This window comes from Homo sapiens, chromosome 7 (genome assembly GCF_000001405.40).
Source record: "Homo sapiens chromosome 7, GRCh38.p14 Primary Assembly".
Classification (NCBI taxonomy): Eukaryota; Metazoa; Chordata; class Mammalia; order Primates; family Hominidae; genus Homo; species Homo sapiens.
The window spans coordinates 108485021-108501658 of record NC_000007.14 but is presented as its reverse complement, the minus strand read 5'-3'; the positions used below and the strand labels follow the sequence as shown (position 1 = coordinate 108501658).

Below are 16638 nucleotides of genomic sequence, written 5' to 3'. Positions count from 1 at the left end.
TAGAGACGGGATTTCACCATGTTGTCTAGGCTGGTCTTGAACTCCTGACCTCAGGTAAACCACCTGCCTTGGCCTCCCAAAGTGCTGTGATTACAGGCGTGAGCCACCGCGCCCAGCCAGCTTTCTTTTATTACACTTATCTTACCCATATATATCAACTAGTTACTTGATAAAGTGATGGTTACAAAATGAGGCTATATTAACTTCCTGACTTCTGATGTCTTCACTTGGAGATGCCAGTTCTGGTGCCATATAAGAAATAAATTCTTTCTTTGTTCAGAAGGAGATAATTTCACTATTAAGCTCTATTTTTACTACTGGCAATCCATCCATGCTTCCTACTCAGTCTTTGTTTATCTAGTTCCTTCCAACTTGTTGGTTAGATTTTTTGGCTTGGTTTTTCAAACCTTTTCCCCAAAATCTTCTAGCTTGTTCTCTAGTTCCCTGCCATCTCTACTGTTACCTTGTAATTCATAGTACATGCCCTGCCTATTGTTCTTAGGTTTAGCTTACCTCTCTGATTTTGCTTTTTGGTATAACCAACTTGCCAACCACTCTTCTGTATGTTCAAGTACTACCCTGTATCTTTTTGTTAAATTCCTTGGTTCTGTATTCACCCGAGTCCTTTATACTTTGACATCAATATGAAGGAAGGAATAAGTACTGAGAGAAGGAAGCTAACCTCAGATGGTGGCAGTGGAAGGCAGGAGGAAGGAAAAATGTACCAGTAACTTTTTTTTTTTTGAGACGGAGTTTTGCTCTGGTTGTCCGGGCTGGAGTGCAGTGACGTGATCTCGGCTCACTGCAACCTCCACCTCCCAGGTTCAACTGATCAGTTCTCCTGCTGTAGCCTCCCCAAGTAGCTGGGATTATAGGCATGCACTACCACACCCAGCTACTTTTGTATTTTTAGTAGAGACGGGGTTTCACCATGTTGGCAAGGCTGGTCTCAAGCTCCTGACCTCAGGTGATCCACCCGCCTTGGCCTCCCAAAGTGCTGGGATTACAGGTGTGAGCCACCATGCCAATATCAGTAACTTTTAAGAAACTCGGAGACAGGATATGGTAGACATAGGTCAAGATCACTCTAACAGTAAACCTGTGTGTGACTGGGACAAAACTGCAGGGAATCTCAACAGATTGGTGTTGAGGAAAGACAGTTCTTTCTTGAACATATTTAATATAAGATTATATCCATACAGAAGTGCTCGGTTGGCAAAAGCCCACTGAAGAGAGAAAAATCTTTAAAGATCTTAGAGGCTATTTCTCAGGAAAGTGAAATAATCTTAAGAAAGTGTATGTCATTCATGTGATACAGATAAAGTGATAACTGGAGAGATTATTCTAGTTCATAGAATTGGTTCCAAATGGTGAAAAATAGGGAAAATGGCAGTTAAATGAGTAGGGGCATTTCACTAAGGAGCAGAAGGAATCCTCTCTGCCATAATGTTCAGGGGAGTTGGGACAGGTAGTGTCATTCATTGAGTCAGCTAACAAATATTGGGGGCCTACTATGTTGTAAGCACTGATTTAGATCCTGGGGACAGTGAGCAAACAAAACAATACAGTGTTTGCATTGTAGAGAAGGAAAAGACAACAAATAGAAAAACAAAAATATGTTATTCTGGGTGCTATGAAGAAAAATAAAGCAAAGTAAAGGGATAGAGAGGAAGAGTACTATTTTAAAGAATGCTCAGGACCAAGACTTCTTTTTAAAGAAGTTATATTTATGTAGAGATAGGAAGGAAGGAAGAAAATTGAAGAACATTCACATGTCTAAGGTCAGACAAGCATGATGAAAAAGAAGTTTGTATCCAATAAATAGTTTATCTTGTAGAATAAGAGTTGTATTAGTCATATAGGGAGGAAATCAGTGTGAGGTAATTTGGGAAAATCTAGGGGTGGGTTAGGATGAAGTTAGGTTTAGGTTAGTAATTCTCCACTGGAGGTGATTTTGCTCCCTAAAGGACATTTGGCAGTGTCTGGAGACATTTTTAGTTGTCACAACTAGAGCACTGCCACTTGCATCTAGTTTGAAGAGGACAGTTGTGACTAAACATCATACAGTGCACAGGACAGCCCCGCAAAACAAAGATTATCCAACCCAGAATGTCAGCGGTTCTGCTGTTGAGAAAACTTGGTTTAGGGGAATATGGGAAAGCAGCCCAGATGGGAGGTTTGTGCGGAAAGCAGTAATGTATGAGGGATTGAGAGAAAAAATAAAAAACCCTGTCTTTGACTTCTTTGTTATAAGAGAACCTACAGTGGTAGACACAGACAGCTGTGGCAACTTGGCAGATATATACGTATTTAAATTCATTCGGAATTTATGAGTACAACATTTTTAAATAGTTAAGTTTCCCAATTATACGAGTAGTTAGAAAAACCTGAGAGAGAAAAAAACCCCAAAACCATAGCTCACAACTCTTAAGATTATTTTAGTATTTTGATTTATTTTCTTCTAATCTTTTTCTGTGTGAACATATACGTGCCTATTTTATTTCCTTTTTGTGATAATAGAGGTCACATTGTTAAATATATTTTATCCAGCATTACATTTAATTCATCATGTCTTGTCTTGAATTAATAATGTACCTCTTTCATAAGATATCTTAACTCTCCTCAAATGCACATTATTTGTTGTATTTAAAAAATCAGCATCTTTGGTTTTCTACTTTAATCTTACATAATTTTCTAGTTACTTCTTGTTAACATTATCAAGCACAATTTGACACTCAAAATTTTTTGATGCCTAACTACCTTTGTGTTCCAGGACTTACCTACCCCCTACCTTGTGTTGGGAATAGAGCTTTTCATCGTTTTTTTATTCTCCCACTGTTAAAAATTGTCATGATACACACATGACAGTTTACATGGTACATACACCCTCAATTGGTCTATATCTCCTAAGCTTTTTCATCGTTTCGCATTCCTTCATGAAGCTATTAACTGCTGTTGGCAAGGATTCAGAAATGAGCAAAGTCAGCAACATTAATTAATATACCATTAATATAGAGGGTTAACCTGAAGTTATTGAGAGTTTTTAAAAATGAATAAAGAAAAGGGAGCTTAAAAATCTGACTGGTGGCCGGGTGCAGTGGCTCACACCTGTAATCTTAGCACTTTGGGAGGCTGAGGCGGGTGGATCATGAGGTCAGGAGATCGAGACCATCCTGGCTAACATGGTGAAACCCTGTCTCTACTAAAAATACAAAAAAAAAAAAAAATTAGCCAGGCATGGTGGCAGGCTCCTGTAGTCCCAGCTACTCGGGAGGCTGAGGCAGGAGAATGGCATGAACCCAGGAGGCGGAGGTTGCAGTGAGCCCAGTGAGCCACTGCACTCCAGCCTGGGCAACAGAGTGAGACTCCATCTCAAAAAAAAAAATCTGGTGAAATATGTAAGACAAAAATGTATAGAGTCATAGGTGACCAACTATGTTAGTAAGAGAGGAAACCAAGGTATGGCATTCCAAAACCAGTGAGTGAGTTTTTAAGTGTTTTCCAGTTTTTTTTGTTTTTTTTTTTGTTTTTTGTTTTTTTTTTCAATTTTATATTGGCATATCTTTGTATTCTTATTTAGTTGTTTGTTGGTTTTTGGCATTCTTAAGAAGTGTATTTGAGTGGATTTCTTCTTCTTTTTACTTTTTTTTTTTTTTTCTGTAGAAATGGGATCTCGCTATATTGTTCAGCTGGTCTTGAACTCCTGGCCTCAAGTGATCCTCTTACCTCAACCTCCCAAAGCGCTGGGATTACAAGAATGAGCCACTGCCTGGCCAGATTTATTCTTAAAGAGATACTGTTCTGCAGAAGGATGGGTTCAGTGAAAAAACAAGAGAGAGATACTAATATAAATTTTAAAATGTGCTGCCTTAGTGTAGGTTTTTTTATCATTTAGATATTAGATTTTCAAAAGTAATACTAAAAATTTGGACAGGCAATTTTTACTGATTTTGATTTATATTATTAATTTTCATGTTAGCATATAAACTCTAAAAGCAATTATTAGATTGTTTTATTCAACAGCTTAAATTATTTTTTCTTTAAACAGGAATTGTCATTTTGTCTTTAATCTTTTCTGTAGGGGCGTGGTTGCTCTCCAGACCCTACGAAAATTAGTTGAACTTACTCAGAAGCCAGTTCATCAGCTCTTTGATTACATTTGTGGTGTAAGCACAGGTAATTATTATTATATGGAAGTGGTGCATTCTGGCAGTACATTAAGGAAAAGAACATTAAGCACTTATGTTTAAGATCATAGTCCTTTGCCTTCTTCAGCCCTCTCTCCATACCCCAAAATTTTGTACTTCCTTTTTTGTCTTTTGTTCATGGTTATGCCAGTTAGGCACACTAGGTGGCAGTGTGTCCTACCTATTATAGCTAGATATGGAATCAGCTGTTTAAAAGGACATCCAAGAGTACCTAATATGTTTAATTACATTGGTTCCTAGGACTAACTTGAAGGAGAATTGCTTAGTGATTTGGTGAGTTGTCAAATATACCATATTCTGTGACTAAAACTAAGTAATTCATTGATGTTAGAAAGAACGTGAATTATCTACCATAGTATCTTATATATAATTTAATGTAAAACAACACATTTGTAAATATTTTTAAATTATTATTATTATCATTATTGGGGGTAGCATTTATTTAATCCTTTTTGAGACCTGGTAAATCCCTTTACATTTGTTAACCCAGTAAGACACATGAATTTTGGTTGTTCTTATTACTCCCATTTTACCCCTGAAACAAATGGGGCTCTGAGAAGGAAAGTCATTTGTCCCAGGTGACATAGCTAGAAAGTATCAACGCTAAAATTTAAGCCAAAACTATGATTCAGGAAATCTTACATCATAAGGGCTATAACTTAACACTGATAAAAGCTAAGGATTCTTTTTTCCAGGTGCCATATTAGCTTTCATGTTGGGGTTGTTTCATATGCCCTTGGATGAATGTGAGGAACTTTATCGAAAATTAGGATCAGATGTATTTTCACAAAATGTCATTGTTGGAACAGTAAAAATGAGTTGGAGCCATGCATTTTATGACAGTCAAACATGGGAAAACATTCTTAAGTAAGTTACAATTACTCTTTTTAAATCTTCTGATTATATAGGTAGTATGTGCATATTATAATTTGAAAAATGTCAATATTAAATTATATTCTTGCATATTATAATTTGAAAAATATCAAGAATATTAAATTATTTGACTAATTAGAGATAACCACTGTTAGTATTTTGGTGAATCATAGTTTAGTAATTGTTTTGGGGGGTTTGTGTGTGTGAGATTTGCATGTAAAAGTTGCAATTGCCTTTTTTAAAAATATGAGATACTTGCATCCTGTTGTTTTTACTTAACATATTAAATGTGTCTCAAGTCATTCTAAAATATTCAATTATTTTTATTTTTATTTGTTTTTCGACACACGCTCTCACTCCCGTTGCCCAGGGTAGAGTACAGTGGTGCTATCTTGGCTCACTGCAGCCTCAACTTCCCAGGCTCAAGTGATCCTCCCACGTCAGCCTCCCAAGTAGCTGGGACCACACGTGTGCACCACCATGCCCAGCTAATTTTTTCTGTTTTTAGTAGAGAGAAGATTTCACCATGTTGCTCAGGCTCCTAACCTCAAGTGATTGGCCTGCCTCCCAAAGTATATATAATCATAAAATATAAGCATAAAATCATCCACAATCCTGTTATTCAGAGCTGTAGACTTTAATATATCTCCTTCTAGTTTATTAGACCTTATACATTTTGTATAGCTGATATTAGATTGTAGTTGTAAATTCGTATCCTTCTCCTTTTTTCAAACGTTCTTAAAATCTCCTGACATATTTTTAAAGACTACACTGTACTCCAGAGTGGGATGTTACACTTTCTTAATCATTTCCATTTAGGATTTTTATGGACATTTACGACATTTATGTTCCTAATTTTTTGGGATTATGAACAATGCTGTCATAGAAAACTTTAAATTTCTTCTCACATTTCAGAATATATTAGTAGGTCACTATATAAGAAGCATATTTATTGGGTCCAATGTTGATGTCTTCTTAAAATAATTATTATATAGGAAATAGAAAATATATCGAGAAAACAATAAAAATAATTTATAATCCCACTAAGAACAAAAGCACTATTAACATGGTGATGTGTTTTTTGTGTAATTTCTTACAGATAGACAAGTGTATATGTGTGTAGTTGTGAGTGTGTGTGTATCCATTCTCTTTACAAAATTCAGATAATGCACAGATTATTTCCTATGTCAGTTAATATTTTTTGAAACATATATTAATGGTTCTTCACCATTTTATGGATATACTGTTTTTTATTTAACAAATCCTCTCTTAGAAAAGGATACTTCAGATACTCTTGCAGTTCAAAATAAAATTTAGATAAACATCTTTACTTAAATCTCTGGCTATATCTTTAAGTAAAGTAAATTTCTAGAAGTAAAATTGTGGGCCAGAGGATATGCATGTTTTAAGAATCTTGATACATACATGGCTGAATTTGTTCTTCAATACAGTGGTTTTAGCTTATTCATCTGCCAACATCAATTTGTATTTCTATTTCATGAAATATTTGTGAACACCAAACACTTAATTTTTAAAATGACATCAGTTTGAGAGATTTTGAAGCTCATGTTTCAATTTGTATCACTTTCATTATTGATGAGTTTAAACTTAAAAAAAGGTTTTGGTTTTTGATGGCTTTTTATTTTTTGTGTGTGAATTTTGAGGGCATAATTTTTGCCTATTTTCTTATGGGATATTCCTCAATGTATTGTAAATATATTAACCATATATTGAAAAAGTGCTAATAATTTTTTAATGTAGAGGATTGAAACATCTTCATTTAGCCAAATCTTTTCCTTTAATGATTTTTAACTTTTATGTTTTTAAGTCTTTTCTACAATCCTACTACTGGGCATATACCCAAAGGAAAATAATTCATTCTGTCAAAAAGACACATGCACTTATGTGTTCATTATAGCACTGTTCACAATGGCAGATACATGGAATCAACCTAGGTAGGTGCCCATCAACAGTGGATTGGATAAAGAAAATGTGGCACATATGCATTGTGGAATACTATGCAGTTATAAAAAAAAATCATGTCCTTTGCAGCAACGTGGTTGGAGCTGGAGGCCATTAGAATAAGCAACCTAACACAAGAACATAAAACCAAATACCACATCTTCTTACTTATAAGTGAGAGCTAAACATTGAATATACATGAACATAAGGATGGGAACAATTGATGCTGGGGACCATTAGACAGGAGGGAGAGTGGGAGTGTGAGCTGAGGAGCCGCTTGTTGGGTACTGTGCTTACTGCCTGGGTAATAGGATTGTTGGGACCCCAAGCCTCAGTGTCACACAGTTTACCCATGTAACAAAACCTGCATGCATACTCTTTATACTAAAAGTTTAAATTTAAAAATAAATAAATAAGTCTTTTCTACTCTGAAGGTAGGTAAATATTTGTATTATTTCCTAGTTCTAAAGTTTTCAGTTTATATGTAATTCTGAAGTTACCTAAAACTTATTTTGATATGTGTTGTAAGAGAATCAAGCTTTTTTTTAATCAGATGTTAATCCAAATGTCCCAGCTCCATTTATTTAACTGATTTGAAACATCATCTTTATCATATTTGAAATTCTTATCTATATTAGAATCTGTGTTCAAGTTTTTGGTTTCTCTGTGGATTTATTTTCGTACAAATTCTGTAGATTTAGTTGTTGAACCTTGGCATAATATTTTTATAATGATACAGCATAGCAAATCTTTTCTCATTATTCTTTTACACAATTTTCATTTAATTTTCAAAGTTAATCTTAGGCTACTTTTATCACATAAAAAAAAATTCCACTGGTATTTGGATGGAAATTACATGAAATGTATCACTTATTTTGTGGAACATTGACATCTTTCCAATCGTGAAAGCTTCCCATCCATTATCATTGTATGTTACTTATTTTCACATCTTTTGTGTCAATTAGAAAATATAATTCACCTTCCTGGCCTACACGGTGAAACCCCATCTCTACTAAAAATACAAAAAAAAAAAAAAAAAAAAAAAAAGCCAGGCATGGGGGCGGGCGCCTGTAGTCCCAGCTACTGGGGAGGCTGAGGCAGGAGAATGGTGTGAACCTGGGAGGTGGAGCTTGCAGTGAGCTGAGACCACTGCACTCCAGTCTGGGCGACAGAGCGAGACTCCGTCTCAAAAAATATATATATATAAAATTCATATCTATTCCCAGTATTCATACAATCAATACTTTTTATTATTTAATGAAAATTTAAAAATTTATTCTAAAACCAGCTTCTCTACTATGAAATTTTTCCTTTTGTTACTTATGAGAGTATCTTTGCATATTTATGTATTGCTGTCTCATTTTTGCTCTTCTGGCAACTTCTTTATTTTTAATCATGGCATTGATAAATTTTATCAGTGTCGTTAGTTGTTTTTTCTTTCTCTGCTTTTTCAAACTCAGCCTTTGCTGCAGAACAAGCCACTCCAAAACTTAGTGGCTTAAAACAATGATGATTTAGTCTCATGACTCTGTGGTTTGACTGGGTGTTTCTTCTGTTCTTGCCGGAGCTCACTTGGTGGCTCTACCAATGGGCCTGGGAAGCCTCTCTCTCCACCTGGTCATTCTCACCCAAGCTTCGTCTCATCATTGTGGTTTCAGAGTTCCCAGAGAGCAAGCCCCAGTGCATAAGCACTTATCAAGCCTCAGTTTAATGGCATGTTTGTTGAGGTCACATGGACGAAAGCCATGCCAACCAAGAGTCTGTATAGGAAGAGACTGTATACAATGACATGGATACCAGGACTGTGATTCACTGGGTGCCAGTATTGTTAATATTCTTCTATATCTACCTTCTGGCCTTTTTTGTCGTAGCATTTTTTCGCCCATTGTTTATTGAGAGGACTTTTATTTATTTATTTATTTTGCTGTGATAATTTTGTGTTATTTTAAGGGAACTATTTTATGCCATCAGTAGAATCTAGGCATGTTGATTTTTTTTTCATATTTTGACATCTCGGAAATAAACAATTACCATTGCTTTTTTTACAAGTTTATATTCATAAGTGAATTCACTAAAAGCATTTTAGGTTTTGAGAAAACCAAGATTTAAACAAATATAAAAATAAATAAATATGAACTTTGCCAAAAAGTGTGAAATCAGCATGCTCCTAGGATTTCTCTTGTAATTTTACAGTAAGAATTCTGTGAAAAGACAAAGAACCTTAAAAAGATAAAATGCATTGATCTTTATGTAGTAGAAATGTATAGATCAGGTTGGGAAAGACAAAAGATCTTGTCCATTTTGGAAAGTATTTTACATTGATATTTATTAAAGCTTATAAAGGGTAGATCACTGAGCAGTTTGTAAATATTCTTTTTATGAAGTTCACTAATATTCTAGTTGGGAAACATGAGTATTGTTTGAAAAACACATTAGAAAATGGTTTTACTCATGAGGAAGGCTGGTGAAACCATAGTCTTTGTATTCAATATAGGGAAAATACATAATTTTTAAGTCTGGAAAAGTCTGCATTGAAATAAAATTCTCTTATTATGGAATTGCAAAAATTGCTGCCCAAGGACAATTTCTGTAATGTCATAGTAATTCAAATGCCAACTCTGATGATTTTCAAAGCCATTTTCTTGATGACATTGGCTGTTACCAACTAAAACAAGCTTAAAGTCTCATTGTCCTCACCTGGTTACTCTAACTAGCCCGTGCATACTTCTGCAGTCTTATCTCAACACAGCTCCTTTATCCTATTGGCAGGACCCTGAAAACAACAGATTTATTTTGCCTTTGTGCCTTTAATCTGTATATGTCCTAGCTTTAAATATGTTGCCTTGCAGTCTTTCAATGTCTTCCTCCAGCAACCTTCCTGCATCTTTTCCAGTTACTGCCCCTCTGTTCGTTGCTCCACCTCAGAACTGTAGATACTTGCAGTTTGAATCAGAGGTTGATAAATAACTGCATATTGTTTCATGTGCATTAATGGAATTATAAGCCTCCTAGAGGAGAGTCTTACATGTTTTCCTTCATAGCACTTTGACAAAGCCATGGACAAATAGTAATTGCATACTGTATGTTTCCTGGTTGTTAGGAGATAAAGTCATTTTGATATAACTTATTTTTTTCTCCTTTAATAAAGGGATAGGATGGGATCTGCACTGATGATTGAAACAGCAAGAAACCCCACATGTCCTAAGGTAAGCTTAGAGTCTCTTAAATATAACACCTAGTTCCATCTGAAGGTCTGGTGAAAGCACTTGTCCTGAGGGCCATTTTATTTTATTTTATTTTTATTTTTTGAGACAGAGTTTCACTCTTATTGCCCAGGCTGGAGTGCAATAGCACGATCTCGGCTCACCATAACCTCCGTCTCCCAGGTTCAAGTGATTCTCCTGCCTCAGCCTCCCAAGTAGCTGGGATTACAGGCATGCACCACCACGCCTGGCTAATTTTTTTGTATTTTTAGTAGAGACAGGGTTTCTTCATGTTGGTCAGGCTGGTCTCAAACTCCCAAACTCAGGTGATCTGCCCGCCTTGGCCTCCCAAAGTGCTGGGATTACAGGCATGAGCCATCGTGCCCGGCCCTGAGGGCCCTTTTATTAAGGTATTACAGATTGTATTAATTCTTTATATATTGAGTCATTCTATGAAGAGATGGGATATCATCCTTATACCTTTTATAAATTCGGTAAAACTATACCAGAAATGGAAGAACATGAAAGATGGACTGAAAATAAGAATTATTTCATCATAATTTTAAAAATCAAATCTAGTGATTTAAGGAACATTATGACATTTTTTACCCTAGTTTTTTTTTTTTTTTGAGACGGAGTCTTGCTCTGTCGCCCAGGCTGGAGTGCAGTGGCACAATCTCGGCTCACTGCAAGCTCCGCCTCCCGGGCTCACGCCATTCTCCTGCCTCAGCCTCCCAAGTAGCTGGGACTATAGGCAGCCGCCACCACGCCCGGCTAATTTTTTGTATTTTTTAGTAGAGACAGGGTTTCACCATGTTAGCCAGGATAGTCTCGATCTCCTGACCTCGTGATTCGCCCACCTCAGCCTCCCAAAGTGCTGGGATTACGGGCGTGAGCCACCGCGCCCAGCCTTCTTACCCTAGATTTTTAAAGAGAAATTTTATATGCCTCTTAGATACAATACAATCATGCATCACTTAATGATAGGGATACATTCTGAGAAGTGTGTCATTAGATTATTTTGTCATTGTGCAAGTATTATAGAGTGTACTTAGACATACTTAGATGGTATAGCCTACTACACATGTAGGCTAAATGGTATAGCCTATAGTTCCTAGGCTATAAACCTGTGTTATAGAGTGTACTTAGACATACTTAGATGGTATAGCCTACTACACATGTAGGCTAAATGGTATAGCCTATAGTTCCTAGGCTATAAACCTGTACAGCAGGTGACTATACTGAATACTGTAGGCAATTGTGACACAATGATAAGAATACTTACGTATCTACAGATATACAAATATCTAGATAAAAAATATCTATAGAAAGATACAGTGAAAAATACAGCATAGAAGCCCGTTTATAGTCTTATGGGACCACTGTTGTATATGCGGTCCATCATTGACCAAAACATTGATATGCAATGCATGACTATATTAGATTATATTATTATAAAAATTGAATCCCCATTAAAATTGTAATGTCACTTAGATGTGTCTCAATGTGGCTCTTCATTTATTTGTGTGTTTGAAACCCAATGATCTGAGTGTTGCTTGAGTTCTGTTTAATATTACTTGTTTAAAGAATAGAATTTATGTGCCTAGAAATTTCATGCAGCTTGTATTTATTCTCAGATAACGAACTGTAACCATGAAAAATCAAACAAGTGCAGCTCTTTCTGTTGCTCTTAACTATGGCATACTCATACTTTGATTCATTCTGCAAGTATTAATTATACACCCACTGCTAGGCACTTTGGATTCATTTGTGGGCAAATGCAGACATGGGGTTCACAGCTCTGTAGGGCAACATAGGTATTAATGAAATAATCACACAGATGACATGTAGTAGTTTCCCTGAAATACATAAGTGCTATGGAGCATAAAAGCAGTTCTTTGAAAGCATATTTTTAAAGAGACATGAGGGCCAGCTAATTTAAGGAAGTGAGATTTGAGATGTCAATGTGAAGGCCATTGAGTAGCAGCATTCCTGGCAAAGGGAATGGCCTGTGCAGGAAGAGTTATAGAGAATTCCAGGAAATGATAGAGTTCTTAAAGATTAGTGCCTCGGAATCCAAGGGCTGCATGTGGAATGAGGCTGGAGCAGTAGGCCGATTAGATCAGACGCAGGGCCTCAGAGGCTGTGATGAAGAGATGACTTAGCTCTTTTTGAGAGGACACTAGGGTGCACTCTATGCTTCTTGCTTGTTCCCCTGTATCTCCAAGGCTCCTTGTTTGTTTGCTTGGTTTAAATTATGAAGTTGTCAGTTTTGAATAAAAGTTATGGGGAACTTTAGCCATCTTAAGAAGTAAATCATCATGATAAATGGAGAGCCACTCATATGTTTTCTTAATCCAACCATATTTATATGCCAACTATAGAAAGACTCTGGATTTTAGTATATGGCCAACGCCTATCCATAGTGGCCTAGAGACAGACTTGGATTACTCACAGGAATTTGGCATGTGACCTTTGTTTATTAAATATCAAAACAATTGGCAGGACTTGGCACAGGACACTAACTTTGGCCTCATCAATACCTGTCAGCCTCTTAAGTTTGTATTACAGATCATTAATAAAACAGCACATTTCATGTAAATTTAACTGACAGTGATAAAATTTGAGACCTGAGATGGTTGACATTATAGTTTTTTAATAAACATTACCCAACTACCAGGTTTTAATAATTGTGACCTGAAAGCATTGATTGTGTAGTGTTACATTTCAGAGTTATTGAAGTCAAAATACTTTCAAAGAGCACAGAAACAAAGACTAATTTGTAAGTGATATTATGAAAATAGTGTGCTTATCTTGAAGCAGTTTTTTTTGTTTGTTTTGAGACAGAGTCCCACTCTTGTCACCCAGGCTGGAGTGCAGTGACGTGATCTCGGCTCACTCCAACCCCCACCTCCTGGGCAAGCAATTCTCCTGCCTCAGCCTCCCGAGTAGCTGGAAGGCACCTGCCATCATGTCCAGCTAATTTTGTATTTTTAGTTGAGTTGGGGTTTCACCATTTTGGGCAGGCTGCTCTTGAGCTCCTTACCTCAAGTGATCCACCCTCCTTGGCCTCCCAAAGTGCTGGGATTACTGGCGTGAGCCACTGTGCCCAGCCTTTAAGCAGTTTTTATTCATTACTACTGTTTTGTCAATTATTATGTAAAGGTCTAGAAATGTTTGCCTTTTTGAATATTTTTTTAATCAAATTGAGTAATGGTCAAATAAATCTCTTTTATTATTATTCTCATAATAAATTTCTCAGAATTGCTTCAGTCTTTATATCTATTATCCCACAAAGAAATGCCTGTTTAAAAAGATCTGATTCTCTTTTTTCAGCATTATATTTGTTACACATATAGTTGTAGATTGTTCATTCATACTACTAAATAGTATTTAATTTTTACAGATCCCAAATATATTACTGTTAATGATGGAATTGTTCACTTTTTCATTCACTAGGTAGCTGCTGTAAGTACCATAGTAAATAGAGGGATAACACCCAAAGCTTTTGTGTTCAGAAACTATGGTCATTTTCCTGGAATCAACTCTCATTATTTGGGAGGCTGTCAGTATAAAATGTGGCAGGCCATTAGAGCCTCATCTGCTGCTCCAGGCTACTTTGCAGAATATGCATTGGGAAATGATCTTCATCAAGTAAGTTGACTTGTATGTCTTATTTTTTTAAATTTTACATGATTAAAAGAATCAGCACTTATTAAATGTCATTGATCTTCAGAAGGATCAACCTAGGAGACTTTCTTCTTTGTGTCTTCATATCTCAAAAGAAGAACAATTTAGGATATTTTTATTTGTTGTTTTTCTTAACAAGCCTCTGACATGCAAACATATTTTAAGAAAGTTTTTGTGTTTTATATAGTGTGATTCGTAGCCCATTATGATAATTTTATGATGGAAAAGTGAGAGTATGTATGATTAGCTTTCCAAACATGATAAAAAGTAAAAACGATATACACTCCCTGAAAATGCAGAACCCAGTCTGCTTGACAGTTTGGGTGGGCATATTTTGAAGAAAGGGATACAGTAAAATAATAGTAAATACTCATTAAGTTAGCTGTGTGCCAGACACTTATTTAGTGCTGTGCATGCATTATCTCATTTAATCCTTGCTACTTACGAGGTAGAGTTATTTCCATTTTACAAACAAGGAATTCGCACCTTAGGAAAAGTTAAGTAACTGGACTAGCATCACAGCTGTTAAGTTACAGAGTTAGGATGTTGTCCGTAATTATACTCTTTTAAATTCATGTGTACACTAGCTGTAAAAGTGAATATTATTTCTGGAAATTCTTTTTATGTAAACTCATTTATGCTTTTCCTCTGTCAAGTTTTTCCAACTCTTTATGGAAATCTTAATTCATAACTTACACTAAATGCTAATAAAGCTTTAGAGCTGATACTTTGAAAGCTTGCATTTTTATATATAATTTTTTATATTATGTCTCATTTAAAATTAGTCTCATTTGATGGAGTAGAATGAGAGGAATCTTGACGTTTTTCTCTAGTCCCTAAAGTACGTCTACTCTCTTTATTTGGTCAGATATCTGTTGAGAAAAAAATCTTACGCTGTTGACAGAGATATTAAGACGGCATTCAAAAACTCATACATAGATCTATATAAACAACATGTCAGCAATATAAACTTCAAAACTTTCTAATGGATCATTTAAACTAAAACATTTTTATCAATTTTATCTCATTTTGATACAATAGCTTATATATATTTTAAAATGTTATGGCCAGCTATTCCTATTTTCTTTTTAATCTTTAAGTAATATAATATTTGTAGTTAAGAGATTAAAATAGGATTCCTTTGTCTTTGGAGTCAGTTCAAACCATTTCTTACTTTGCAGAATCAGTCATTGTTGAATTATTTAAGGCACTTCCCCTTCTTGCCTTTCTTCTCTTTCTTCCACCCACTCTGGGCAGAAAGTACTGGCTGCTGAGTTTCTGATACTGATTTCAGGACTTATTGGTCAAAATAAAATTTTTATTTTAATATGTGGCTTACTATTTTTAACAACGATTTCCCCTATTCTTATGTACCATGTCATAAATTGAGAAATAATTTAGACAGTGTATGTAAAATATAATAGAATTTTTAAGTTATAACCTTAATAGTGCTACAAACTTGCAGTTATGCCAATTAGTGAAAGTCTCAAATACTAAATAATTACATTTGGGGATCTTGTGTTTTCCACACTTCAAAAGAAGTTATTTCATTTGCTCTTTATTCTTTATCCAAAAGAAAGTAGTTCTAAAGTTTAATTCAGTACTGTTGAATATATATTACCAAAGTAATTCAGTGGTTCCTTTTCCATTTCAGATAGATTAGTGATATTTCTGTTCACGCTTAGACATTTTTATATTGATGACCGTAATCCTTTAACTTATTTTGAGCCACAGATTAAAATAACTTCTTAAGGTTATTTGAATAAATAAATGTTATTTATAATTTACATAAATTTTTATGTAAAGCATATTGCCACATGGGCAAAAAATGTACTTTCATATAAATCAATAAGCTTCAGAAACTTTGGCACATTTAATTAATAAAAATATTAAAATGGAATCTAGAGCCTAAGAAACCTACTTAAGGAAATATTTTTCTTACTCTGTATTCTCTTCCAAGACTTGAAGAAGAAATGGGATATTTTTCACTTCAAATGACAACTCAGAAGATTGATGGGAATATTTTAAGGTGTGAATGATCTTGGTTGCTTAAACAAAGAAAACGTTCAAGTAAAGTCCTAATTCTTTCTAACCACTCAGAAGTTTTGCCAAGTTTAAAGTATAGTACTACAACCTTCTCATCCTAAATTCTTTTAATAATTATATTCAATTATTACCAGTCTCATTTTGAAAATCCCTTTTAGCTGTCACATCTGACATATGTTTTAATGTAGTTACTTGGTATCCATTGTAGTAGAGGTTAATTAATATTCTATTTGAGCAATTATTGAAAGTAGTGATATAATTAAGAGTTATGTGTAGGTGAATGGGGAGATTCATTTGCCTTTGACTATAAGAAGAAGATTATTACAACATTTATAAGGTTCATTACAAGTCCTAGAAAATTATAAAGTGAGAAGAATTCTTTGTGAGTAGCTCCCAATCTCTCCCTATCTGCCCAAGTAGTAGCATAATATGTACATGGAAGTACTACTTTTTAAACAAAATTATTCCTTCTCTCTTTCCATCTCCACCTTCAAAATTAAATTGTTCATTCCTGTCTTTGGAGAAAGAATCTGATAAATTAGTTTACACTAGAGGTTTTGATGACCAATTCTGATATACATATTATTCCTACCAGGCTTTATTTACATCACAAAAGTTTTTGTTCAGAGCTTAGGATACATAAACATAAATAAATT

General features: G+C 35.0%; 1 protein-coding gene across 13 annotated transcripts in view; it reads left to right on the top strand.

Annotated features, from left to right (window-relative positions):
* Positions 1 to 16638, top strand: part of PNPLA8 (patatin like domain 8, phospholipase A2) — a 57762-nt gene that overhangs the window by 26520 nt on the left and 14604 nt on the right. For 6 of the 13 annotated variants that reach the window (NM_001256011.3, NM_001256010.3, NM_001256008.3 and 3 more), the window contains 4 exons: positions 4082 to 4176; positions 4904 to 5075; positions 10192 to 10249; positions 13706 to 13900. In NM_001256011.3, coding sequence (NP_001242940.1) covers positions 4082 to 4176; positions 4904 to 5075; positions 10192 to 10249; positions 13706 to 13900 — 520 coding nt within the window. Of the gene's footprint in view, positions 1 to 4081; positions 4177 to 4903; positions 5076 to 10191; positions 10250 to 13705; positions 13901 to 15896; positions 15966 to 16638 lie in introns of all 13 variants that reach the window. The other 7 variants (NM_001256009.3, XM_011516275.4, XM_005250396.6 and 4 more) reach the window with 3 other exon arrangements.